The 25,263-nt window shown below is 46.1% G+C and overlaps 1 protein-coding gene across 7 annotated transcripts in view, besides 3 other annotated features; it reads right to left on the bottom strand.

Moving 5' to 3' along the window:
- IGF1R (insulin like growth factor 1 receptor) overlaps positions 1-25,263 on the bottom strand; it is a 315,992-nt gene that overhangs the window by 257,686 nt on the left and 33,043 nt on the right. The window lies entirely within an intron of this gene.
- Positions 2,348-2,528: a silencer, noted in NCBI's record as "fragment chr15:99247546-99247726 (GRCh37/hg19 assembly coordinates)". NCBI's record gives its function as "represses an EF-1alpha promoter that drives an FKBP-Casp9 reporter gene in an ReSE screen in K562 erythroleukemia cells {active_cell/tissue: K562}" and the evidence as "EXISTENCE:reporter gene assay evidence [ECO:0000049][PMID:32094911]".
- Positions 5,616-6,115: an enhancer, noted in NCBI's record as "H3K4me1 hESC enhancer chr15:99243959-99244458 (GRCh37/hg19 assembly coordinates)". NCBI's record gives its function as "activates a minimal SCP1, AML or CMV promoter by ChIP-STARR-seq in naive H9 embryonic stem cells {active_cell/tissue: H9 hESC(naive)}" and the evidence as "EXISTENCE:reporter gene assay evidence [ECO:0000049][PMID:30033119]".
- Positions 6,116-6,617: an enhancer, noted in NCBI's record as "H3K4me1 hESC enhancer chr15:99243457-99243958 (GRCh37/hg19 assembly coordinates)". NCBI's record gives its function as "activates a minimal SCP1, AML or CMV promoter by ChIP-STARR-seq in naive H9 embryonic stem cells {active_cell/tissue: H9 hESC(naive)}" and the evidence as "EXISTENCE:reporter gene assay evidence [ECO:0000049][PMID:30033119]".

The raw sequence follows: 25,263 nt of genomic DNA, 5'->3' as shown, positions 1-25,263 counted from the left end.
TAACCAAAAAAAAAAAACCAGTAAAAATCATCAACGATCTCAACATTCCACGATAAACAATGTTAACACTATCTATGCCAATTATCCACTCTCTATAAATGAAGGTAAGTGAAATCAGACAAAAATGACATTTGTAAACACACTTCCTTCACTTAATATTTTACTAGGTCAATACATGTCCTTCTACATCACCATTTTAAGGGGACAGTAGTTCCAGAGTATTAATACACACCATGAGGGTTGTTTTTTTTTTTTAACCAATCCCTTATTGTTGGACATTTAGGTTAGCTCCTGTTTTGCACATTATAAACAACACTCCAGTGAACATTATTGGCAGATACCCAAGACTATTTTCTTAGGATAAATCCCTAGAAGTGGAAGTGCTGGGCCAACGCATTTGCAGATTTTAAAGGCTTTTCATAAAATGGCCTCAATACTGGATGACTTATTTTCTAAATTCTAAGCACAGACACACACCAAGAAAACTCTTTGTGATAACCTTTTTTAGGATTTAATAATCCCAAGTACACTATTAAAGCTTCTCAGATAGAGTGAAGTTTTCTGACTGATGTAATTAATTTGGGAAGCACCCAACATGTATGATACCACGAGAAATGCCAACAGGCAGTGCCCTGCCCTCTGAGGAGGCTCATGGTGAAGGCAAAGAGCTAAGACCCATGAGGAACAACTGTCACATGAGGCAGGTGGTCAGTGGTGTGCACACAGCGAGTCCACTCTAGATGTGAATGGAATTAAGCAGGACAGACAAGAGGTGGTGTCCAAGCTTTGTGCCACCGTGCTAAGGGGAGCTCTGCACACAGGCCGGCTCCCAAAGGGTGCCTAGGATTTAAAGCTCGGTAAATATCCCACAGGCCAGAGACAATGCAGAACAAGGTATGCCCATGTGCCAGCAGATCTGATGGTCAGGGTGAAGAGGGGAGCAGTTGAGGAAATGAATTTGATAGCACCCAAGTCATAAAGGATCACATGTGGGGATAAGAACTTTCATCTCAGAGGAATAAAGCCCCCACAAGGCTCCTGAGCGGGAGAGAAGCCCATGTGAGGCCTTTTGCAGGATTAATCTGGTGGCCCAGTGCAGGACGGAATAAGTGAACAGACGAGGGAGAGAAGAAAAGTCCCACTGGGCATTACATTACAATCAAAGACAGAAACTGAGCAGAGATAGCGAAGAGAAGAGGAAGTGGAGGGACCCAAGGGCTGAGGAGTGGGCAAAGCTTGAGAACTTAGAATGTGAAACTTCATATCATCTAATTCTTCTGTTTTACCAAAGAGAAAATGACACCCCTAAGACAGAGAAAAGAATAGCAGAAACCAGCACTTGGCAAACACCCATTTTAAAGGTGAGGAAACAGATTTGGGGAAGTCAAGTCACTTATACACAGTCACATACATTAGATTTCAGCCCCTACATAGCAAAACTTGACACAAGGCTTGTCAATAGTCCCACCTCTCAGCACCCTCACCTCCTGGTTACCTTTAACCCACTCCGACTGAGCTTCTGTCCCCATTATGACACCGAATAGCTCCTAGCAGAGCCCTCAGTGACACTGTCGAAGTGTCACTTGACCTTCCAGTCACCTGGCATTGCCTCCTCCTCTCGGCTTCCCTGATTCCACACTGCTCTGCCTTCTACCTTACCTCTAAATGTTGGTTGCTATCCTCAACCTTTTCCTCTGTCACCTCATCCAGACAAGTGGCTTCCTGTGCCACTCATACTCTAGATATGATCAAATTCATGTCACTGGCCCAGACTCTTTTGAGCTCTAACGTATACATCCGAGTATATCCATTGAGGTGTCAAACAACTCACTCATCCCCCCACATAATCCACCTTCCAAGCTTGTAAACTGCAGCACTCTCATTCTCTGAGTTGCTCACGTTAAGAATCAAAGAGTCATTCCTGATTCTTCTCTCCTCTCACACCTCACATATCTAGTCCAGCAACAGACCTCAGGGCTTCCGCTCCCAAGCCTATGAGAATCTTGGTTGCTCTTCCCACAATGCTGCCCCACGTCTTTCCTCCCTGTGCAGCACGCTGTTCCTCAACAACCCTACACACTTCCCTCCCAAGGTACACCACCCTCTGCAGGACACCGCTCTGGCCCTTCTTTTCATGGTCTCTCTCACCGCAGCTCCAGTTGGTTCACAATTATATCACCAGTGCCTAAAACAGTACTTGGTGTGCAGCGGACACATGACATGGGACACACGCAGAATGAGTGAATTTCATCATTCTTTCAATGTCTGTGTGTCTCCACTACTTTAGCTCTGATCTGAGCCACTATCAACTCCAGCTTGGCCTAAAGCAACACATTCCCCATGATCCAGCCTCCTCACGGTCCGTCCCTGTCCCAACACCATCTGACAAGACTCCACGGGACTCACCAACCTCCAACACACCGAGCTCCTCCTCTGTGATACCCTGCCGCCCACAGTGCTTCTGCTCCTTCAGGAGGCTGCCCCATTCTCTAGCCATCTGGGTCTCCACTCAAACGTCACCTCCTCAGAGCTCTGCCTAAACACCTTAGCTTCAACTATTCCCCCAACTGTCCCCCAACTCCTCCCTCCCTCCCCTACCTCTCATTTCTCTTCTCGCTTCTCTAAAAAGTCATTTTATATATTTTTAATAATCTTGTGCATGAAACAAAGTTTGTATACAACGAACCATTTTATTACCCTTTGTGGAGGTGTCTGAGGGAATCTGGGCATGTGTGGAAAAGACACATCACAGCTGAAGGGGGCCGGGAGGGTCTTTTTTCCCCTGGGGACACTAAATTAACTGTGTGTCGTGTGCCTGAGTTTCGAAAAGTGACCCGTCACATGAGGTCAGGTGTGGAATTTTCCACTTGTGGTGTCATGTCAGTGCTCCAAAAGCTGAAACTTTTGAAGCATTCTGGATTTTGGATTTTTGGATTAGACAGGCTCAACCTGTATAAAGCGTTAGGCATCTATTTACTTGTTATTTCCAACAGATCACAAAATTCAGTACCTAGTGAAACAACATGAAGACAAAGACTGAAGCAAGTTGAACTTCATACTGCAATCAAAATGCAGACAGGAGGAAAGAATCTGCTTCACTTTGCCATCTGGCCCCCCTTCCACAGTCAGTGTTGACCACTAGTTAACAGAGGCCACACTACAGAGCTGGAACTGTGAATTTCCTTCAAATGAAAGAGCAGTCTCCATACTTCACACTTTTCCTCCCATTTATAGAAGAAAAGAGAAAAAAAGTAGGAAGAAGCTACCCACTTACTCTGGAAGAAAAGACAAGCCCAAACCACAGAGCACGAGGCAGGGCCTAGGAACCAGCTGTTTTGGAGCCTATGACTGACACCACTGGTCTTCAGGAGGTTTTGTGATAGAAACAGTGAAAAAGAAAACCAAGCTGGACCATGAATGATAGCAGCGTTCAGGAGGCGCAAGCCACAAACAGGAAAGAGAAGAAAATATGCTCCACTGGTGCCATGAAATAATTCATGCACCGAGGGAGTAAACAGTAAACACAGCACAAGAGGGAGAGACACACCCTTTGTGGCTACTCACCGATGATTAAAAGGAAAATGCAAAATACCCTTTCTCCCTTCTCAAAGCAACCGATATTGGCATGATCCAAAAACAAACCCAAAAACTTTTGGAATGTGAGATCCCAGGCAGCCCTGTAAAGAATAAGACAAGCAGGGAAGCAGAGAGAAAGGGTACAGCTGGAAGATGGGGACAGTGGGGCCTCAGCAAAGTCCCCAAAGCCAGAGAATGGCAACAGCAGAACCAAAACAGATGGGGGTGCTGGGAGTCAGGGAAGGGAGTTGGGAGGGGCAGGCAGGGGCTTGGTACCTGGGTAGAATTCACTTCTCCAAAGATGTCATTTTATTTATTTTTTATTGTTTTTTGAGACGTGGTCTCACTCTGTCACCCAGGCTAGAGTGCTGCAGCACAATCGTGGCTCAATGCAGCCTCGACCTCCTGGGCTCAAGCAATCCTTCCACCTCAGCTCCCAAGCAGCTGGGACCACAGGGGTACACCATAACACCTAGGTTTTGTTTTGTTTTTTAATTTTTTGGCAGAGAGAGGGTTTCCCTATGTTGCCCAGGTTGGTCTCCAATTCCTGGGCTCAAGCAATCCTCCAGCCTCAGCCTCCAGAAGTGCTGGGATTACCACCACACCTGGCCAAAAGATGCCATTTTAAAGAAAGCCTTAAAAGTCAGGCACAGTGGTTCATGCCTGCAGTCCCAGCACTCTGGTAGCCCAAGGCAGGTAGATCGCTTGAGGCCAAGAGTTTGAAACCCCATCTCTACTAAAAATACAAAAATTAGCCAGGCGTGGTGGTGCACGCCTGTAATCCCAGCTACTTGGGTGGCTGAGGCCCAAGAATCACTTGAACCCACAAGGCAGACGTTGCAACAAGTCAAGATCACACCACTGCACTCCAGCCTGGGAGACACAGAGCAAGATTCTGTCTCAAAAAACAATAATAAAATTAAATTAAATTTTAAAATAAAGTCTTTCAGCTGAAATGAGTACTGTTAACAAAATACTCTTAGGTATTTTCTAAAGATCAAGAGGCAGAATGTCTGCTCTAACAACTTAGGTGAATGGCATATACAAGCTATATATATTTTGAAAATAAATCCCTAAGAACTAAATGTTAATATGAGAAGGGCTAAAGAAAAGCATTTGGCTGAGAAAACGCCCCAAAGCTGTGTAGCTAAGTATTTGGAAGACCTACACGAGAACTGTAAATTATGTCTTAGACACAACCTTGAGGTCCTAGGAAAAAAAAAAAAAAAAAAAAACAGCGTGACTCCCATGAGCCCAGAGTGCCATTTACCAGCTCCTGCTCTCAGGCAGACACACCTCACCTCTAAACCCCATCTTCCTCACCTGCAAAATGGGCTGTCACTACCTACCCTATAGAAGCTGGCATAAGAATCAGGTAAGTGCTTTTGTGTTACTGCAAACAGTAATACCTTTTAGCAGCTGTTATTAAGTAAACATTAATGGAAATACTGATCTATTTTGTTGCCCCAATGTAAATATTACTAACATACAACAAAGGAGGGTGGCATGAATTAGCAAAAACACTGATTATCCCTCTGTCAACAATTCCATTAAAGAATGTTATAGTTATCCATTTAGTTAAAATGGGTAACTACTTGATCAACTCTTCTTTAAAAATATGGGATAGGTTGGCCGGGTGCGGCGGCTCATGCCTGTAATACCAGCACTGTGGGAGGCCGAGGCGGTAGGATCACGGGTCAGAAGATCAAGACCATCCTGGCTAACACGGTGAAACCCCATCTCTACTAAAAATACAAAAACAAAATTAGCCGGGTGTGGTGGCGGGCACCTGTAGTCCCAGCTACTTGGGAGGCTGAGGCAGGAGAATGGCATGAACCCGGGAGGCGGAGCTTGCAGTGAGCTGAGATCACGCCACTGCACTCCAGCCTGGGTGACAGAACGAGACTCCATCTCAAAAAAAAAAAAAAAAAAAAAAAAAAAAAATGAGATAGGCTTAGCTTATAGTTGGAAATAAAAGACATCAGGAAACATAATTAGCCTTCTTTTACTACAGGTCTACAGGCACACTGTGAAGGTAAAGCACATTAGTGAACCAATCATCATCTTTAACTCTAATGGTAAAATCCAACATAACAAAACCTTTGGGCTTATGTGAGAAGTCGGTTTTGTCTCAGTAAGCGGCATACTATAGTAGTTCTTTACTCCTCTTAAAATGAATTCTTTGGAACCAATAACTTAGTACAACAAAAACCCTCTCTAGACACTATCACTCTGTGAAAGTCAAAATGATTTAAGAGGTTAGGAGAGGATTAGTGTATCACTGAATTTTGCACAACGAAGGCAGAACAACCATCTCTCTAGCAAGTGGCAAATTAAATGAAAAAAAAAGTTTTAATAGCGCAATAGACAGAACCCTGGGAACATAAAGACAAGGCCCCACAACTCCCTATCTCCGAGGAGGTCAGGAAGACTTCTCAGCAGAGACGACCCTGAAAGATGAGCAGGGTCTTGCCAGGAAGAGTGGGAGGCAGGGTACTCCAAGCAGAGGCAGGAGCACACCCTGGGAGGCAGCTGGAGCTGATGCCTGGTGGCAGCTGGGGGAATCCCAGGGGTGCAGCCCGTGTGGCGGGGAGAACAACAAAGGCAATGGGACAGATGCTAGAAAGCAGACTGAGACAAGTGTGTGGGAGGTCAACTTCACTTTGCTTGTAGGAGGAGTGTTCAAAGTCCTCAACATGCATCAGGACCACTTGAAGGAACTGTTAAAACGCAAGAGGTGAGGCCCCAAAATTTGTTTCTAATATGCACCCAGGTGATGCTGATGCTGCTGGCCTAAGCACCACCCTGTGAGACCCACTGCCCTAGGAAAGAACTGAATAACCCACCACACCACCTGTCACTACCCTCCCTACCCACCTTATCTGCAGTGTGGTGCAGGTAAAGCCTGTGCACCTGTTACTTCTCAAATTGACATTCTCTCTCTCAGAAAACCCCCAAGAAGCCCGAAGAAACTACGAAACAAAGCAAAGCAGAAGAAAAATGGGGTGGAGACAGACTCTCCCTAGTATATGATCCTCCCATGCTGTGCCCTTCAAGGTCTCAGCACACCCTCCTTGCGCTCAGAGAAGAGAGAGCATGGGTTTCTTTAGGCCTCATTCCTAATTGAAAAATCAGAGATCAGAAAAGAGGGAAAAAGACAATGTTATGATAACAAACACTACTGACACTTCAGTTTATTACAGTAGAATTTTCTGTGTAAGTGTAAACCGACACAATTCATGTTAAGCCCTTTATCTTCACGTGTCAATCAGAACATGTTTACGTTGTATATATACATTCCCATTTCACACAGACAGCAATCCTGGCCACCTAACACATTCAATAACTGAAGGCAATGATAAGAATGTAAGAGATTTCCATTACAGAGGAAACTCTGAGAACAGAAATTAGAAACCGAGTGTAATTTGAATGTGAACTGTTTTACTGCCGCAGAGCCACCCACACATCATGCATATCAACAAAATAAATGCACACATCAAGGGCAGTCCTGAAGGCTCAGAACGTTAAAACCAGAGTGCTACATACAGCAAAGAACTTACTAAGATGGGTGAGATGTTTCTATCCTGCCACGCCACTTAAGACATGGAAACTTTAACGGGAATTCAAAGACTAAAGGGAACACAAGCCCCAGTGTCCCCTCCACTGAAAGCATCTGTAGCCAAACAGACTGGCGCAGAATTGGTGCAGAGCTGTATTTGTAACAACCGTTTTCCCGGATCTTCATAAAAACAACTTTATCTGCTCTGACAGTTACTCCAAATGCCTTTCTCATCTTAAAATATCCCAAAGCCCAATATTCTAGGTCTCCATATTTCAAAAAACACCCTTAGAAGAGCCTCTAAGCCTTTCTAATTATCCACAGTTCCCATGGGTGGCTGGCTTCTCGATGAAGCAGGACACCAGGAGATAGAGTCCCTCGGAGCCAGAGATCTTTGCCTCACCATGAGGCCTTCCGAGGGGCAGCACCTGCCTAGTCCCACACCCTGTCCTCACTACCACCTAGCACCCACTGTGCATGAGACAGCACCCTAAACCTCCGAAGGACAGACTGTAGAGCCAGTGGATGGTGCTGTGAGGTACAGCCAAGCTGGGGCAAGGCCCATGCTGAGCAGGCACCTGCAAAAACCAAGTTCCTTCTGCCTTCCTTTCCCTCTCTCTCGTGACTTTCAACTTTCTTCTCAGAACCAGGCAAATGTCCTAAATAAAAGTCGGCCCTGTGTCCCCTGTCCTCTCACTGGCTTCATTTTGTAGAACACATTACATCATTCCAGTTACAGTTCACATCCTCATTTCAAAAGCACTTTACCTTGCCCTACAATGCTCCAGTTTCCTTAAGTGACCTGTACTCTTTTCAATTAGCCAGTTATCTAAGTCTAGCTGATAACAGTGTAGAAATCCCACTCATCTGTTCCCCTACCCTGCAGTGTGATTCTTCATGGATGTGGTGTCAAAACAGAAGCTTCTTGAAATACTGAGGCTTTCTATCTGATCTGGGGACTTTCCTAGCAAGGAAAAGGACTGGGCTAGTATTCAGAGACCAGCTACCTCTTGGATCCATCACCAACCACCCATCACATGGCCAGAGGTCAGTCCCTGCATCACTCTAGTTCATGCACAGGAAGGAAATCCTCTCACATGCAACAACCTGGATGGAGCTTGAGGACATTATGCTAAGTGAAATAAGGCAGTCACAAAAGGAGAAATCCTGCGGATTCTGCTCATAGGTACTCAAAGTAGTCAGACTCACGGAGACAGCAGAAAGTGGCTGCCCGTGGCTGTGGTAGGAGAGAATGGGAGTTATTAATGGGTACAGAGTTTCCGTTTTTCAAGATGAAAAGTGTTCTAGAGATTGATTGGACAGCAGTGTAAAGGTACTTAAACTGAACACTTTAAAATGTTAAGATGGGAGGCCGGTGGGCGTGGTGGCTCACACCTGTGATCCCAGCACTTTGGGAGGCCGAGGCAGGCGGATCACGAGGTCAGGAGTTCAAGACCAGCCTGGCCAACATGGTGAAACCCCATCTCCACTAAAAATACAAAAATTAGCCAGGCATGGTGCCTGGCGCCTGTAATCCCAGGTACTCGGGAGGCTGAGGCAGAAGAATCACTTCAACCTGGGAGGCAGAGGTTGCAGTGAGCCAAGATCGCACCACGGCACTCCAGCCTGGGCGACAGAGCAAGACTCCATCTCTTAAAAAAAAAAAAAAAAGGAAGGCCAGGCGCGGCGGCTCACGCCTGTAATCTCAGCACTTCGGGAGGCCGAAGCAGGGGGATCACTTGAGGCCAGGAATTCAAGACCGGCCTGGCCAACATGGCGAAACCCCATCTCTAACAATACAAAAGTTAGCCAGGCATGGTGGCGGGCGCGTGTAATTCCAGCTACTCGGGTGGCTGAGGCATGAGAATCGCCTGAACCCAGGAGGCAGAGGTTGCAGTGAGCAGAGATCGCGCCACCGCACTCCAGCCTGGGTGACAGAATGAGATCCTGTCTCAATAAAAAAAAGTTAAGATGGTAAGTTTTATGTCATACGTATTTCACCACAATTTAAGTATAGAGGGAAAGTTCTGCCGCATTTTAACACAAGTGCAAGTGGACAGCTGAGGGGAGACCACACAGCCCGTCCACCACCGAGAACCAAGGGGAACCCAGATGGAAGGAAAGCAGGTTTGGCCACAGCTCTGCTGCAGATACAGCACACACAGGCCAGGCCTTTAAAGATGCCACCCATACCAGGTGTGGCTGTGGGACTGCATCCAGCACAGTCAGATTCGTCAGGACACAAACAGAAGGGTCCCCCAGGAGTGCTGCACTGACTCCCCAGGGAAATGGGCTCTGGGCACACAGCCACAAGCAGGCAGAGGTGGCGGAGCAGGTGGACGCCCGCATGCAACCTCTGTATTGAGTGGGCAAGAGCTAAAACACTGTATGCAACCAACCACTCTGCAAACTGAACAGTGGCAGGTTCTCACTATCTGATGTTTCAAGGGCAGAAGCCACAACCGACTGCGTTGATTTTCTAACTTTGAGTGTTTGGCACATCTGTACCCCAACACAGTTCTTCCTTTGTAAAATGCAGCAGGGTTACTATGAGGGTCCATCACGGCTCCAGCCTGTCCCAGCAAGCCCCTGCCTTCCCTTCAATGATCACTCCCACTCTTGCCAAAGCCTTTGTATCTGCTACAACTTCTGCATTTACTCTTCTGCTCTAACACCTCCAGATTCACCTCTTCCCCCAAAGGAGTACTTTTTCCACTGCACGCTCATCCAAGCATCCGGAGGACAATCCGCATCCCTGACTTCTTCACTGAGGCATCCTACGATTTCTACTAAGACCAGGTACCCTCGGCATTTAGGATTTCTCCATCCACACCCACAGGAACCTCTGCCCACCAGCCCAGCCAGACAGCAGCCCCATGAAGGCCAATCCCATCATCAGCCAGGAGAGGATGTCTAAAACCAGTGCTCTTAGCTTCCCAAAAAAAATCACCTGAAGACCTTTCTCCTGAGCAGCTCAGTCCCACTCTGCTCCAGATGACAGCCAATCATAGCCCGACACTCAAGCCCCCTGGTAGTAACATTCTCTTATCTGCACTCTAGCAGTGGTATCAGCCAAAGGCAAAAACAGAAGAAAAACACTGCTACAAAGTGAAGCCCTGGGTCAGAAGCCGTAAACTACAATAACCTGGGTTTTGGGGATGTGCCCATTTTCTTGGCATAAGGATTTTTTCTTAATATGTATATTCCAGGAACACATACTTGGTCTACAATGCCTTGCTAAGATCTCTTTGTTGACAAGGTGAAGAAATATGAACTACATCTGAATAGCTTAGTAAATGTTCAATTTACCCTACAAAGTGCTGATTAATGAACAGACCAAGGAAGGTCTCTAGTGGGAGGCCACAGGTCTCTTTCTGAGTACTGTAGATTTCAACATTTTTATCAATTACTTGAACGATGGCACAGATAAAATGTTTATCTAATTCAAAGATGACAAGTTTCCAGGAGCAATGGCAAATACACTGGATGACAGAGTCAAGAGCTAAAAAGATCAACAGATTGGAATTGCAATAGAGAGGAAATAAATGCTATTTGGACACTTGGGTGCAAAAAAAGAAATGCACAAATGTAGGAGGTGTGAAAAAGACTTAGGAGATTTAATTGGATATAATTTCTGTATGTGACGATGTGATGTTGTGGCTGCCAAAAAAAAAAAAAAAAAAGAAGAAAAAGTCAGGCAGTCTTAGACTGTACCTAAGGGAGACTTAGTAAGGGGCCAGGGGAGAGACCCTGAAAACTGGGTTTCTGCCTCCACACATTAAGAGAGATAAGTCAGTGGAAGAACATCCAAGTGAGAGCAGGGACCAGAAGTCCCTTCTCATGGAGAACGGCTGCAGAAACCCAGCACACAAAGGTCTCCAGGGAGGGGGACTGGTCAGGCTCTTTATGACCCTGCTGGAGGAGAGAAACAGAGAACTTAGATCAACACAGGGTGAGGGACTGTGGTTCCATATAAGAACAGACAGTAGGATTCATTTGAAACCCGACTGGACTGCCTAAAGAGGTAATGAAGATTCCTGTGGAGCTGCACATTTCTGAGATTGTGTAAGCCTGATGTGATTTACTATGAGAACTCTTTTGGGGTGTTATCTGCTCTGTTTTGCAGCTAAGGAAACTGATGGTTAACAATGAGCAAATGACCTACCTGGGATCACTCAGGTAATTTAGGGAGCAGAGCTGGGGCTTAAATTGAGATGACCTCACATGATTCTAGGGGTAGAAAATTCCGCTTTGGAGGTATCTCTTAAGGCTGACAAGGATGCTACAGCCAGGTGCATATGATTGAAGAGGTGCTCTCTCACACACATCGTGCATGCTGACAGCCATCTCACCAGAGTGGGCACCTCTTTAAAGCCTCTGAGAGTAGAAACCTCTGTCAACCCCAATGCCTTGACCCGTCAAAGGAGGGCAACACAGGGAGCTCGTAAAAAGCTTTACAGAGCTTCACTTTGTATCTCATAACCCACATGTAAAGGAATGAAACTGACTTACTAGGGAAAATCCTATTATTTCAGACCTTATATCCCACTGAAAAGCATACACTGTTTGCACGAGTTAACTATACTGCAGAATATCAAATTCTTGTTTTTGTTCACAACCCATAGAGGCAGGAAAAAAAATAAAGACAGAAAACACAATCTAACCCAACTACATGAACTCCTCCTGCACATACAACATTTTCCTTAGAGGACAGAAATGGATCTCACAAATTTGGAACACAAGATTTCCACTTCATCAGGCAACTGCCACTCATCACACCCTGTTTCTATTAAATCCCATTCCCTTCGTTATCTCCACACTTAGCTTTCCTTCCACGCACTGCTTACACACAGTTCAAACTTTCCCCAGCAAGCCACAGGAAAGTCGGCCTCCCCGACTTCGGCGCACCCATTCTTTATTCAGTGCTGATGCGCAGATCACACAAAGATCCCTTCATGCTAAGAAAGTTTCCACCCCACCAGAAAATCTATATTCTTCCATGGAAATTGAGAAGTACATTTTTTTCTCTTTTACAAGTTCCAGTTGAGAACAATATAATTCTCAAACAGATGGAGAGCTCAGACAAGCATGAGCAACCCTTGCCTTTAAAGCAAATCAGGCAGTGAAGTGTGAGGGGCCAAGTGTCAGTCACTGGCACCTGCATCCCCCCCACCCTGAGTCTGGCCCAGGAGCGCTGGAGGCTGAGGTCCAAAAAAAAAAAATGGGGAAAGTCAGGTGGCCACAACCACCTCACTCCAGGAAGGTGGGGATGTTCATAGAGCCACACAGCAGTTCAAGTGGGGATCCCTAAGCCTTCCTATGGCTCATCTTCTCTGAAGGGTTGACAGGCATGCTAATGGATTGTCGTGGAGGATTAATGAGCCTGCCATGGGCCAGGAACACAAGAATGAATGGTGCAGTGACATCTTTGAGGAGCCGCCTCACCCCTTTAATAACCCTCCCATTTTGTTTCCCTGCACCCTTGCGCTTCAGCACGAACTCTGTTAATTTGCTTAAAAGTCAGCAGCATGTTACATCATGTAGACACGAACAATTATGCTTTAAAAAAAAAATCCAGAGGAATAAAAGTATGCCAATTAAGTGCATAGGGATCAATGTAAATGCTCCTTGCTACCAGATAAAGGACACATTTCCAAATGGTCACCAGAAACGAGGCAGGTGCTGCCAAGCAGCATGCTGACAAAGTCAGAAATGTCTCCCATTACTCCTCTTTAGGATAGCACAAGTACAGCCTTGAAGAAGTCTACCCTTGACAGTGGGCAAAAACAGAAGACAGGAGGTCAGGCCAGGCACGGTGGCTCACGCCTGTAATCCCAGCACTTTGGGAGGCTGAGGCAGGCGCACTGCTTGAGGCCAGGAGTTCGAGACCAGCCTGACCAACATGGTAAAACCCCATCTCTACTAAAAATACAAAAATGAGCGTGGCATGGTGGCATACACCTGAAGTCCCAGCTACTCAGAAGGCTGAAGCACAAGAATCACTTGAACCCGGGAGGCAGAGGTTGCAGTTAGCCGAGATCATGCCATTGCACTCCAGCCTGGGTGACAAAGCAAAACTCCGTCTCAAAAAACAAACAAAACAGGAGGTCATTCGATCAGGGAACAAAAACATCCCTGGGAGGTGGAGACGACCCAAAAGGCAGGCAAGCCGCTGTGCCCAGTGCACCAGGGAGGCAGAAAACCCCAGGCACCCACCAAGCAAGTCTACAGCGTCCTCTGCATTCTGCAGCAGGAGGCAGGGCTGAAGGACAGCAGCCCCATTCAGCAGCTTTGTGGACCAGTCTTCCCAGGGACCTGCTGTAGAACAAAGCTCAAGGTGTAAAGGAAAACAAAACCCAAAGTCTCAAATCCCCACAACAGGGTGGTAAATCTTGCCCCTCTACATGGAAATGGCACTACTCCAAGGCAAAGCAAACGCTCCCCTGCCCGTAGCCAACATCACCTCTATGCCTGCCTCATTCTGCTCATCCAGGACCCAGCTTCCAAGACCAAACAGGTCTCCCAGCCACAGCACAGCATCCTATAGTTGCTGGATGGCACAGCAGGAAATAGCAAGGACGTTCATATGGGGTCAGGGGGGTGCTGCAAGCTCTCCCCACACAGCCCTGGGTTAGGGAACCACAGAGCATGCTCCACCAGCCCCTCCATGCTCTCTAGGCAACACCACGGGCAAATGGAACACGGGACAAAGGGACATGGGACAAAGCCTTGGCAAAATGCAATCACGCTGGAGACTAAGGATCCAGGGTCTCCCACTGTTCCACCACTCATACCTCCCCCACCCAGGCTTACCCCACCCTGAGGCCCCTACTATCTAGGGCGGGGGTGGCTACGTCTATATCCTCCCTACTGATGTCCCCATACCATCAAGCAGCTCTTACCAATGTATCAGGTGGTAAACAACAGACTCTCACTAACTCCATTTTTAAATGCTGGGGCATATGACCAAGGACATTATCTCAGGTAGTTGTTGCGGGAAAGAGCTTTTAGATAATGGCTTTGATTCCTTAAGGGTAGACCCCTATTTTGTTTATATTGTTAATGAGAGCTTGGTACTAAACAGTTTCCAAATGTTACTGGAAAGTCCAAACTCACCATCATCTTACATAAGGTTTCCAGGGTATGGTAAATAAATACACTTCTGACAATTAGAGAAATGCACACTAAGATATTTTTAGCTTGGCTGAGCATAGTGGCTCATGCCTGTAACCCCAGCACTTTGGGAGGCCAAAGGAGCAGGACTGCTTGAGCCCAAGAGTTCAAGGCTACAGTAAACTATGATGATGACACCACTGCATTCCAGCCTGAACAGAGCAAGACCCTATCTCAATCAATCTTCTTTTTTTCTTTGGAGCCAGGGTCTCACACTGTCACCCAGGCTAGAGGGCAGTGGCACGATCTCGGCTCACTGTAGCCTCAACTTCCTGGGCTCAAGTGATACTCCCACATCAGCCTCCCAAGTAGCTGGGACCAAAAGCAAGCACCACCATGCCCAGCTAATTTTTTTGTATTTTTGGTAGAGATGGGGTTTCACCATGTTGCCCAGGCTGATCTTGAACTCCTGAGCTCAAGTGATCTGCCCGCCTCGGACTCCCAAAGTGCTGGGATTACAGGCATGAGCCACTCTGTGCCCGGCCAAAGAAAGAAATATTTTTAACTTAACAGATTCACACACAAAAAAATTACCAATCTAATAACACCAAGCTTGAGTGAGGACATGGGGCAACAGGCACTCTCCTACTTTTGGGAGGAGCATATGTGTACAGCCATTTTGAAGGACAACATCTGCCAAAAAATACAAATGCCTATAACCTCTGAACAGTGACTCCTCTTCTAGAGATCCAACCCTCATGTCAGTGGGGCAAATAGATGTATGTCCCCACGCATACACTGCCTCATCCAGGTGGTGAAGGTTAACAACAATGGTGATAGGTCATGCTGACAAATCACTGAAGGGAGGGCATTTCAGCTCTGTGGTCTTGCTCCCAAAAACCCATGGTCCCAGACTAACCATAAGAAAACCATGGGCCGGGCAGGGTGGCTCACACCTGTAATCTTAGCACTTTGGGAGGCCGAGGTGGGCAATCACCCGAGGTCAGGAGTTCGAGACCAGCCTGCCCAACCTGGTGAAACCCCATCTTTACTAAAAATACAAAAATTAGTTGGGTGTGGTGGCAGGCACCTGTAATCCCAGCTACTCGGGAGGCTGAAGCAGGAGAATTGCTTGAACCTGGGAGGCAGAAGTTGCAGTGAGTCGAGGTTGCACCATTGCACTCCAGCTTGGGAGACGAGTGAGACTCTGTCTCAAAAAAAAAAAAAAACAAAAAAAACCATGAGACAACTCCAAATTAAGGGGCAGTGTGCACAAAACCTGGCCAGTGTCCCTCGAAACTGTCAAAGTCACCAAGGACAAGGAAAGTCTGAGACCCTGTCACAGACCAGAAGAGGTGAAGGAGACAGCTAAATGTAATGTGCTGTGATGCGCTATTCTGCACAGGATCCTAGACCAGGAAAGGAACATTGGGCAAAACTGGTAAAATCCAAAAAAAGTCTTGAGTTTAGTTCACTGACAGTCATGGACTAATGCTGGTTCCTTAGCTGTGGCAAATTACCATGGTGACACAGAATGTTAACAGAGGCGAAGCTGTTAAGAGGTACATGGGATCTCTCTAGACTATCGCGGCAACTTTTCTGTAAATCTAAAACTATTCTAAAAGAAAAAGTTTATTTAAAGAAACAGTGAGTATGCATGAGCATGTAAGCCGCAGGACAACAGGGATCTATTTAAATGTTTTTTTAAAAAGTACCCTTACTGCTCTGTGGCTTGCTTCTGCCTGACCCGCCAACACCGCCCCACCCTGCCGCCCCCAGTTTCTTATGCAGGTGGACATAACCACATGGAAAAAATGCCTGGAAGGAGACATGCTGATGGGCCAGTAGTTCCTTCCGGGGAGTGAAGCAGACTGGGGAGAGTAGCAGGAAGAGGAGAGGGTGAGCTATATCACCTATCACCTTCTACTCTGTAACTGTGTATTGTTCTAATTTCCATAAGAAACATACATTCACATATTAATTGTATACTTAAAATCATTTTAAAAACAAAGATCATTCTGCTATAGGAAGAGAGCCAAAATTTATATAAATGAAAAACCACAAATTGCAAATCTGTGTTTAAACGATGGCTAAGAATAGCATTTTTGCTTGCATAGCAAGTATCTGCAAAGCTTACCCTTGGGAAGCAGGGGGGAAGAAGGAAGAGTCAGAGGAGAGGAGGAGGGGCCTGGCATGTTTACTCCTTACCTCCTGTTTTAATTGCCTACCATAAGCATGTGTTTTTGTTTTTGTTTTGGGATAGTCTTGCTCTGTCACCCAAGTTGGAGTACAGTGGCACAGACATGGCTCACTGCAGCCTTGACCTCTTAGGCTCAAGGGATCCTCCTGCCTCAGCCTCCTGAGTAGCTGGGACTACAGGTGCACACCACCATGCTTGGCTAATTTTTTAATTTTTTTGTAGAGATGGGGTGTCCCTATGTTGTCCAGGCTGGTCTTGAACTCCTGGACTCAAGAAATCCTCCTGTCTTAGTCTCCCAAAGTGCTGGAATTATAGGCATGAGCCACCATGCCCAGCCAAGCATGTTTTTAGGTCATTATCATCATGAAAATGATCATAAACCCTCAAAGTTCATTCCTTACTTGCTCTATCTCCTTGACCCCCAAACCACACCCAAAGGAGCCCACATTTTGGAATTCTGCTTCTAGGGCTGTGATGGCACAGGATCCCTCTCCTTTGCCCACAGCTTGAGGGCAGCGTGAGGACAGTGTGAGGGAGCAAGCACCCTCAGAGGTGGCCCCTGCCCTCACTCACACCGCTGGCTGAAACGCTGGTATCTCTCCATCGGACAGGATCTGTTCAACATCAATGCTGTTCTCCACTGGGGCATCCCGAGAGACCTATATAAGGGGGCAACTCACATCCATCTGTGATGGCAGCAAAGTGTGGCAAGAACCTAATGTGCCTTCTGAGTCATCTTTAAACTATGCAAGGTCCCTGCCTGCAATCAATATATTCTAATACTTTAGATTAATACTTTCTGATTAATCAATCTATGACAAACCCCTGGATCCTCAACAATGGCATCTAAAAAAAAAATGTAGTGCAACTGGCTGAGCACAGTGACTCACGCCTGTAATCCCAGCACTTTGGGAGGCCAAGGCAGGCAGATGGCTTGAGGTCAGAATTTGAATAACATGATGAAACTTTGTCCCTACTAAAAATATAAAAATTAGCCAAGTGTGGTGGCAGACACCTGTAATCCCAGCTACTTGGGAGGCTGAGGCAGGAGAACTGCTTGAACCTGGGAGGCAGAGGTTGCAGTGAGCTGAGATCACGCCACTGCACCCCAGCCTGGGTGACAGAGCAAGACTCTGTCAAAAAAAAAAAAAAAAAAAAAAAAGTAGTGCAACTGTCCAAAGCTGCTTGTCCTTGAAAAGGACGCCAAAAACCAACCAACCAAGCAACCAAAAAAAATCTGCAAGATATCTAGAGTGGGAAAACAGCACAATGAAGATGAAAAACTGCTATTTCATGCTGCTTTTAAGATCAAGTGATTTAATTTCACTAACATTGATTTTTGCAGAGTGATTTAATTTTGCTAACACTGACTGAGCTTCTGCTTACTGATGTTAACATCTGGGCAGCCAAAGTCGTCGCCCACCACACAGAGGAAGGAGGAGAAACATCAGGCCATCTGAGAACCCATCCACATGCATATACTGATGAATCAAAGCGTACTGCGTAAAAAGAGGCTTCCAAGATTAATCAAGGTTTATTTTTTAGGTCCTGAATCTCTCAGGATGTCTGATAAAAAGCTGGGCCCTTTCTCCAAAAAAAATACACTTACAAAGAGCTTGCACGCCATTTCCAAAGGCCCTCTGAACCCCATCTATGGGGCCTTTTGAGTCACAGACCCTCATCAACTAGTCTTGAGCTATAAGCATCTGTGATACCATTTTACAGATTTAAAAAAAAAAATGAGGACTTAAGAGCAATTGGGTGACTTTCTCAAAATTCTCCCACCAGCTAATGGCAAGGTGGAGAGCTCTGGTCTCATGCTGTCTAGAAAACATGAAGCACACTCAGCAGTGGTTAGCACAGACCCCCAACGAAAGCATTATAATAGCATTCCCACATGTGCCAACGCTACGCAAAGGTATACACATGAAATAACAGTGCCATCACACACACACACACACACACACACACACACACACACAGGTGTGTGTTGTGTGGTGAGTCGAAGAGAGAAAGAAAGTTGGGAGCGGGGGAGAGAGAGTGTGGGGGGAAGTGAAAGGCAGAGAGAGGAGGGAGAGTGGGAGAGGAAGGAGAGTAGGAGAGAAGGGGCGGGGGAGAAAACAGGAGCAGGAGAGAAGGGGGTGGTGGGAGAACTATACTACTGACACTATGAACTTGGGCCAGGGCTGGCCAGGGCTGAATCCAAAACCCTGCCCCCTACCCGTGAAACAAGAATCTAGGTTCAGATCACCAGAGAGCACACTGAGAAGCCACCATGTCCTTCCTTCAGTAAGGTGCAGGCAGGCAGGGGGCCTCAATCACTGGGACTCAAACTCCCCGCCCATCAGCCTCTGTTCCATGCTACAAACCACAGAGCACAAGACACCGCTGCAGTTCAGGAGCAAAGCCCCAAGGTAAGTGGCACCAAGTATCCCATTTCCACAGCACTCCAGGACCACTACCAAACAGGGGCTGGCAATCATGAGGAGCCCTGCTTCCAGCAAGGAAGTTAAGTAACTTCGGCCTTCCACTGGAGGCCAGAGATGGCAAAGACAAAAATCTGAAGATAAAAACAGGCAGAGAGCTCTACAGCTGGACACTTTTAAGAGCTTTATTTCTTGCCCCAACTTAACCATTAATTACACAATGACAACCTGGGGATGCTTTGGCTTCTATGCCAAGTCGTGGCTTCTAACACCACCACCTCTCTCTCCCCTGGTTACCACACAGCATCTCGCTGGGGGCTGGACCCTGGTCTAGCCCTCCATAATGCACCCTCCACCCTACTACCAAGGCGGACTTTCCAAACCACAAACCTGACAGTGCCCATTCTTCTGCATTAAGTCCTTCAAAACCTCCCTGTGCCTTCCAGAGAAAAATCCAACCTCCTTGAAATGGCCTAAGACTCTGTGATTTGACCTGTGTCAATACATCCAGTCTCAGCTCCCGATATTCCTTTACTAAGGACGAGACATGGAGCCAACTGAGGTTTCTAAACTCCAAGACACCGAGTACACATGCTTCCCAGCAGCTCCTTCCATCAAAACACCCATCTTCTCTAGGCCAGGCCTTTAACACTCGCCTGGGTGCAGACTCGCCCCTTCACCGCCACAGGACCCCAACTGCACTCATTTCTCTTAAGTTTAGGCACTCGTTTACCTACTGGACTGTGATCCCATGCGCAGCTGGAACTGCACTGTATTTACTGTCCTTCACAAGGGCCAAACCAGCACAGGTCTGAGACACAGCAGGTGCTTAGTAAACACTGGGCAAATGAATGACAAGGAAGTAATCAGTTGCTCTTGTTCACATGCTCCCTCTCTTCCTTCTCCTCCTCCTCCCAAAACCTTTAGGTTTTTTCACATGCTCCCTCTCCTCTCAAAACCTTCAGCTTTTAAGTGAATTCATACCCATAAAAATTTAAATAAGCCAGGTGCAGTGGCTCACGCCTATAATCCCAGCACTTTGGGAGGTTCAGGTGGAAGAACTGCTTGAGGCCAGGACTTCCAGACCAGCCTAGAAAATGTACCAAGACCGCATCTCTACAAAAATTTAAAAATTCACCAGGAGTGATGGCGCAGGAACATAGTCCCATCTATTGAGGAAGCGTAGGTGGGAGCATCACATGAGCCTAGGAGGTTGAGGCTGCAGTGAACTATGCTCACATCACTGCACTCTAGCCTGGACAACAATGTGAGATCCTGTCTCTAAGAAAAAAAAAAAAAATTAAATACTTCATTGATATTTGCTAAAACTCAAAAGTCCCATCAAAACCATAATGAGATACCACCTCACATCCATTAGAATGGATAGCTACTATAAAAAATTTAAAAAAATAAATAAAAATAAACGTTGGCAAGATGTGGAAAAATTGGAATTCTTATGCAGTCTACATGGAAAACAGTACAGTGGTTCCTCAAAAAATTAAAAATAGAACTGCCATATGATCCAGCAATTCCACTTCTGGGTATATACCCAAAAGAACTGAAAGACTTAAGGAAATATTTGCATATCCATGATCACAGTCATATTATTCACAGTAGCCAAAGCGGGGGAGCAACTCAAGTGTCCATCGACAGACAAATGGATAAGCATATATACCACATGGTAATGGACATTATATAAATGTGTTATCACACATACATATATTATTAAATATTATTGGGCCTTAAAAAGGAAGGAGATTCTGGACACATGCTACAGCCTGAATGAACCTTGAGGACATTATGCTCATAAAATGGGCCAGTCACAAAAGGACAAATAGTGTACGAGTCCACTTACATGAGGTATCCAGACAGTCAAATTTACAGACAGAAAGTGGAATGGCGGTTGCCAAAGACTTGGGGAAAAAGGCAATGGGGAGTTGTTTGATGGACATGGAGTTTCAGTTTGGGAAGATGAACAAGTTCTGGAGATGGACAGTGGTGATGGTTGCACAACAATATGAATGTACTTAATGCCACTGAACTCGTACATTTAAAAAAATTCTTTTAAGTAGCCTCAATAGCTGCTGTCTGACACCACCCTTTAAAGTTCAAAATGGTTTCAGACACTGACAGCTGCCACACCACCCAAGGAGGCTGCGGCTCCAAGGCTGGGCAATCAGGCTACCTGCGGTGGAGTGGTGAGCCGCTGATGCCTGGGACCTGCCGCTAGACCTGAATACTGGAAGCACGCTGGTGTTCTTGCACACTCCTGTTCCATCTTCAACAATTATCTGGAGGAAGCACCACCAGGGGCCCAGCCCACAGAGGCATCTTTGGAGGGACCCTGGACAGACAATGAGCAGATATACACATGGTCTGAGCCAGTCGTGGAAAGAGCCACTGGGAAGATACCGAAGGGACACAGAGGAAGAGGTGCCCAGCTGGCTAACAGAGAGTAGAGTGGGCTGGAGGAGACTGATGGAAACCCACTGGGAAGCGGGTGCCCTAGATTATTATTAACCTCCCCAGACTAAGTAAGCAGAAGTTGGAGTCTGTCCTCTAGTAAGTTACAGCCCCAGTAAGAACCCACACAAAGCATGTAAGCATCCAGGCATCTAAAGAACTCAACATCTACCATCCAGCGTGTCCACCCACTTTCCAGGAAGTATGGTGACAGGACTGCAAAGGCAAGCACAGCATCATTCTTCTTCAAAGCCAACAGTTCCAGCCGGGCATGGTGGCTCATGCCTGTAATCCCAGAACTTTGGGAGGCTGGAGGGAGAGGACTGCTTGAGTCCAGGAGTTTGAGTGCAGCCTGGGCAACATAGTGAGACTCCCATCTCTACAAAAAATGTTAAAAATTAGCCAGGCGTGATGGCACACATCTGTGACCCCAGCTACTCAGGAGGCTGAGGCAGGAGGATCCCTTGAGCCTGGGACGTTGAGGCTGCAGTAAGCCATGACCATGCCACTGCATTCCAACTGGGGTTACAGAGCGAGACACTATCTCAAAAATTTAAAAAAAAAAAAAAAAAAAAAAGGAAAAGGAAGAAGAAATATATACATGGAGGGAGCCTACAGTGTGGGGTCAGACTCCTCACAAAGTTTCAAACATTCTGAAGCTCAGGGAGACGAAATAATTTGCCCCAAATCACACTCACTAAATATTAGCGCTGGATAGAATGCAAGCCCAGACTTCCTGAAGCCAAATCCCACATGCGCTCTCTCAGCACACAGTCTCCCGATGACTGCCTTTCTCCTTCTACTCTCTCATCCACAGCAACCCAGTGGCCAAATTTTGCTCCATTTAAAAAGGAAGGAAAGAAAGGTCCCTGTCCTCATCTGGATAAGCTTTAGTTATGTTTGTATAACATTCAGAAAAGGCCATAAAAGATCTTCACTGAGGGCTGTGCTAAGTATTAAGTGTTACTCAATAAACCACAGCATAGAGGTTGCCAACTGACGTTTAGCTATAACCTGGAAAGAGTACTGGCTGAATACATTTTTTTTTCCAATTTCAATTTCTAGGTATCATTTATATTCATCCGCCCACACCCCCCACCTCCCCCATTAGCAAGCATAAAACAAACAAAAAAAACCCCACAGAGCTACAGTTGTAAGACACAACCAGAGTAGGTGGCATATTATGATAAACAAAGATGACAATAAAACATTTTTCCAGCTGTGATAAACATATTTAAGATCTATCAGAGGCTGCCAGAGCTAAAACTGAAAACTATGAAAATTGCAAGTTGTTCATAACACAGAATTTATGTCTTAGAAGCTTTTATTTTTTAGGCAGAAGTTGTCTCACTAGGAGATCATTTCCTTACCTTTTTAAAATCTGAACTTTTAAAGCTGTGACATGTTGAGGCTGTCACACGTCCAAAGTGATTTAACAACTGGCTGAGGGAGGGACTGAGGCTGAGCACGGGCACATGGTACAGCTCAGAGGCCCAGCTGGAGAAGACAATACTGCTCAGGGCAGCCCTACTAAGCCTCCAGGAGGATCCCAAAGATCTACGCCCGCCAGGTGATTAGGACACTCACATTTCATTACGTCTCAAATACTGTGAACAAGCAATTCAATTAACAGCTGTCTCAGTGTCTTAGAGATCAGAAAAAATTAAGAAGAATGGTGAATTATGTCCCGATTTCCAAATATCCACGCCTTTGTGCCCTTTCTTGGCTTCTGAAACCATCTGTCTTCCTTTCCCAACTTAAAAAAGAAAAAACAAAAACTTTAAACAATAAACCTTGCCATCCAACTGTGACTGATGAGATGTAGTTGTGAAATGGGCTTGTCAGATGCACTTATATAAGAGGATACCGACTTGATTGCAATTCATAACATCTCTAACATCTGAAAAACTTCAACAATGATTTTCTCAATAAACAAAACTGTTGTGTATTACACTAAGCTGAGCTAAGATTACCTCATCCCTTAAAAACCAACGGCTGTAAACAAGTTGTAACACAACTGGGCAATGCCCACACAAGCAAAAGTCCCTTTGCAAAGCCCAGCAGACTTCCAGCAACTTCCTGGCCTTCCGAGCAGAAACAGCCCCAATGATGGGACTAAAGGAGGAGACCTCACAGAACTGGAGAACATCAGATCGTGAAAGACTCAGAACAGAACACTTTACTTTTAGAATCCTAAAATAAACACAGCCAGACCACTTGAGGAATCACGGAGGTGTATCCGTGAAAAGGCGCTGTATCTGCTTTTTAAGTCACACACCCAAACTCGTCAGATCTCTCTTAAAACCCTTGAGATCAACCCTATTCCACCCCTTTTGATGAACACCTACCTATGCCATGCACTTTGTCAGATCCTATGGAAACAAAGAACATGTTGCCTGCCCTTAAAGAATCCCTATAACCACAGAAAGAGAAAGGGAGAGAAACCAGTAATCTCAGCACTGTGTGATCAGAATATCTAGCAGTGCACACGAGATACACTGTGACATGGGGAGGTCACTGATATGAGGGGTTCATCAACTCTAGGGAGGGAAGTGGTGCCCCGGAGCCTGCTCCAACTTAAATGCATAGCAAGAAAAGTATAACCACTGATCACATTTGAGACCCAAATAAGACAGTAGGTATGAATTTAAAAAGCAACCCAGGCCAGGTGTGGTGGCTCATGCCTGTAATCCTAGCACTTTGGGAGGCAGAGGCGGGTGGATCACCTAATCAGGAGTTCCAGACCAGCCTGGCCAACATGGTGAAACCCCATCTCTACTAAAAATATAAAAATTAGCCAGGCATGGTGGCACGTGCCTGTAATCCCAGCTACCTGGAAGGCTGAGGCAGGAGAATTGCTGGAACTCGGAAGGCAGAGGCTGCAGTGAGCCGAGATCAGGCCACTGCACTCCAGCCTGGATGACAGAGTAAGATTCTGTCTCCAAAAAAAAAGGCAACCCAGAGAAAGATACTAGTTTCTCTGTGCCTAAGGAAAATGTAAAAACGTAGACAAGCTCTTCAATTAAACCTCCACTATTTCTAAATCGCCTACAGTATTTAAAGAGAAAGACTCCTTTTATAATTACACCTGACACTTCTCCCCATGAAAACATCTCGGAGCACAGATATGCTTCTTCAATGTGAAGGTCGGTCTCCACGGGCCCTAAAAGGAACACTAGCTCACCTTACAGGAACACCCTCAGCAAACATGAGAGGGACAGTCATCTTTCTCCTGGTACCTTCCCAGCTCCTCCTGGAAAACAACTCAGATAACCATAGGAGACCAAAGAGTCCTAATATGATTTAGGAGACGGAAGTTACTCAAAATCATTTCCAACAAGTTCACCACTGAACACTTCCTGTGACCAAATAATGGTGGCAGGTCCTGCCCTGAAGGTTCCAACGGTTCTGCTCCATCCACCCTGCTGTTCACTCATCAGTCCTGCCCCTAGAAGACCCTATGCCTGAGGACCTAAGGGTGGTGAATTCCTTCCTAATCGCTCTCCACCCTACACAGAAAATCACTAAGCTCAAAAGAAAAAGTGTAAGGGCCCCATCCACATTCCAAATTGATTTCACATGACCCAACAGAAATCATAGCATTTCTCCCCTCCACCCACCCATCCTGAAGAGTGACCATCTCCTTGGTCACACATAGCAAACAAAAATTCAGATGACACCAGGGACAGACCCTAAATTCAAGTATTAGCCTGATGCAGGTCTAAAGCAGAGATATTAACAGATTTTTTGACTCAAACCAACTGAACCAGACTCACCTTTACTAACTAATACACAGGGTAAAATTCCACTGAGTTTTTATGAAAGCCATGTCACAACTCCCCCAAGAATAGCCTTGAGGGTGGAGCATGAGCCCCCGACAGGGATGGCAACCAACCACCCCAGGCAGGAGGGTCTGCTGCCTCCAT

This window comes from Homo sapiens, chromosome 15 (assembly GCF_000001405.40).
Source record: "Homo sapiens chromosome 15, GRCh38.p14 Primary Assembly".
NCBI lineage: Eukaryota > Metazoa > Chordata > Mammalia > Primates > Hominidae > Homo > Homo sapiens.
This window is presented reverse-complemented; position numbering and strand designations above follow the sequence as displayed.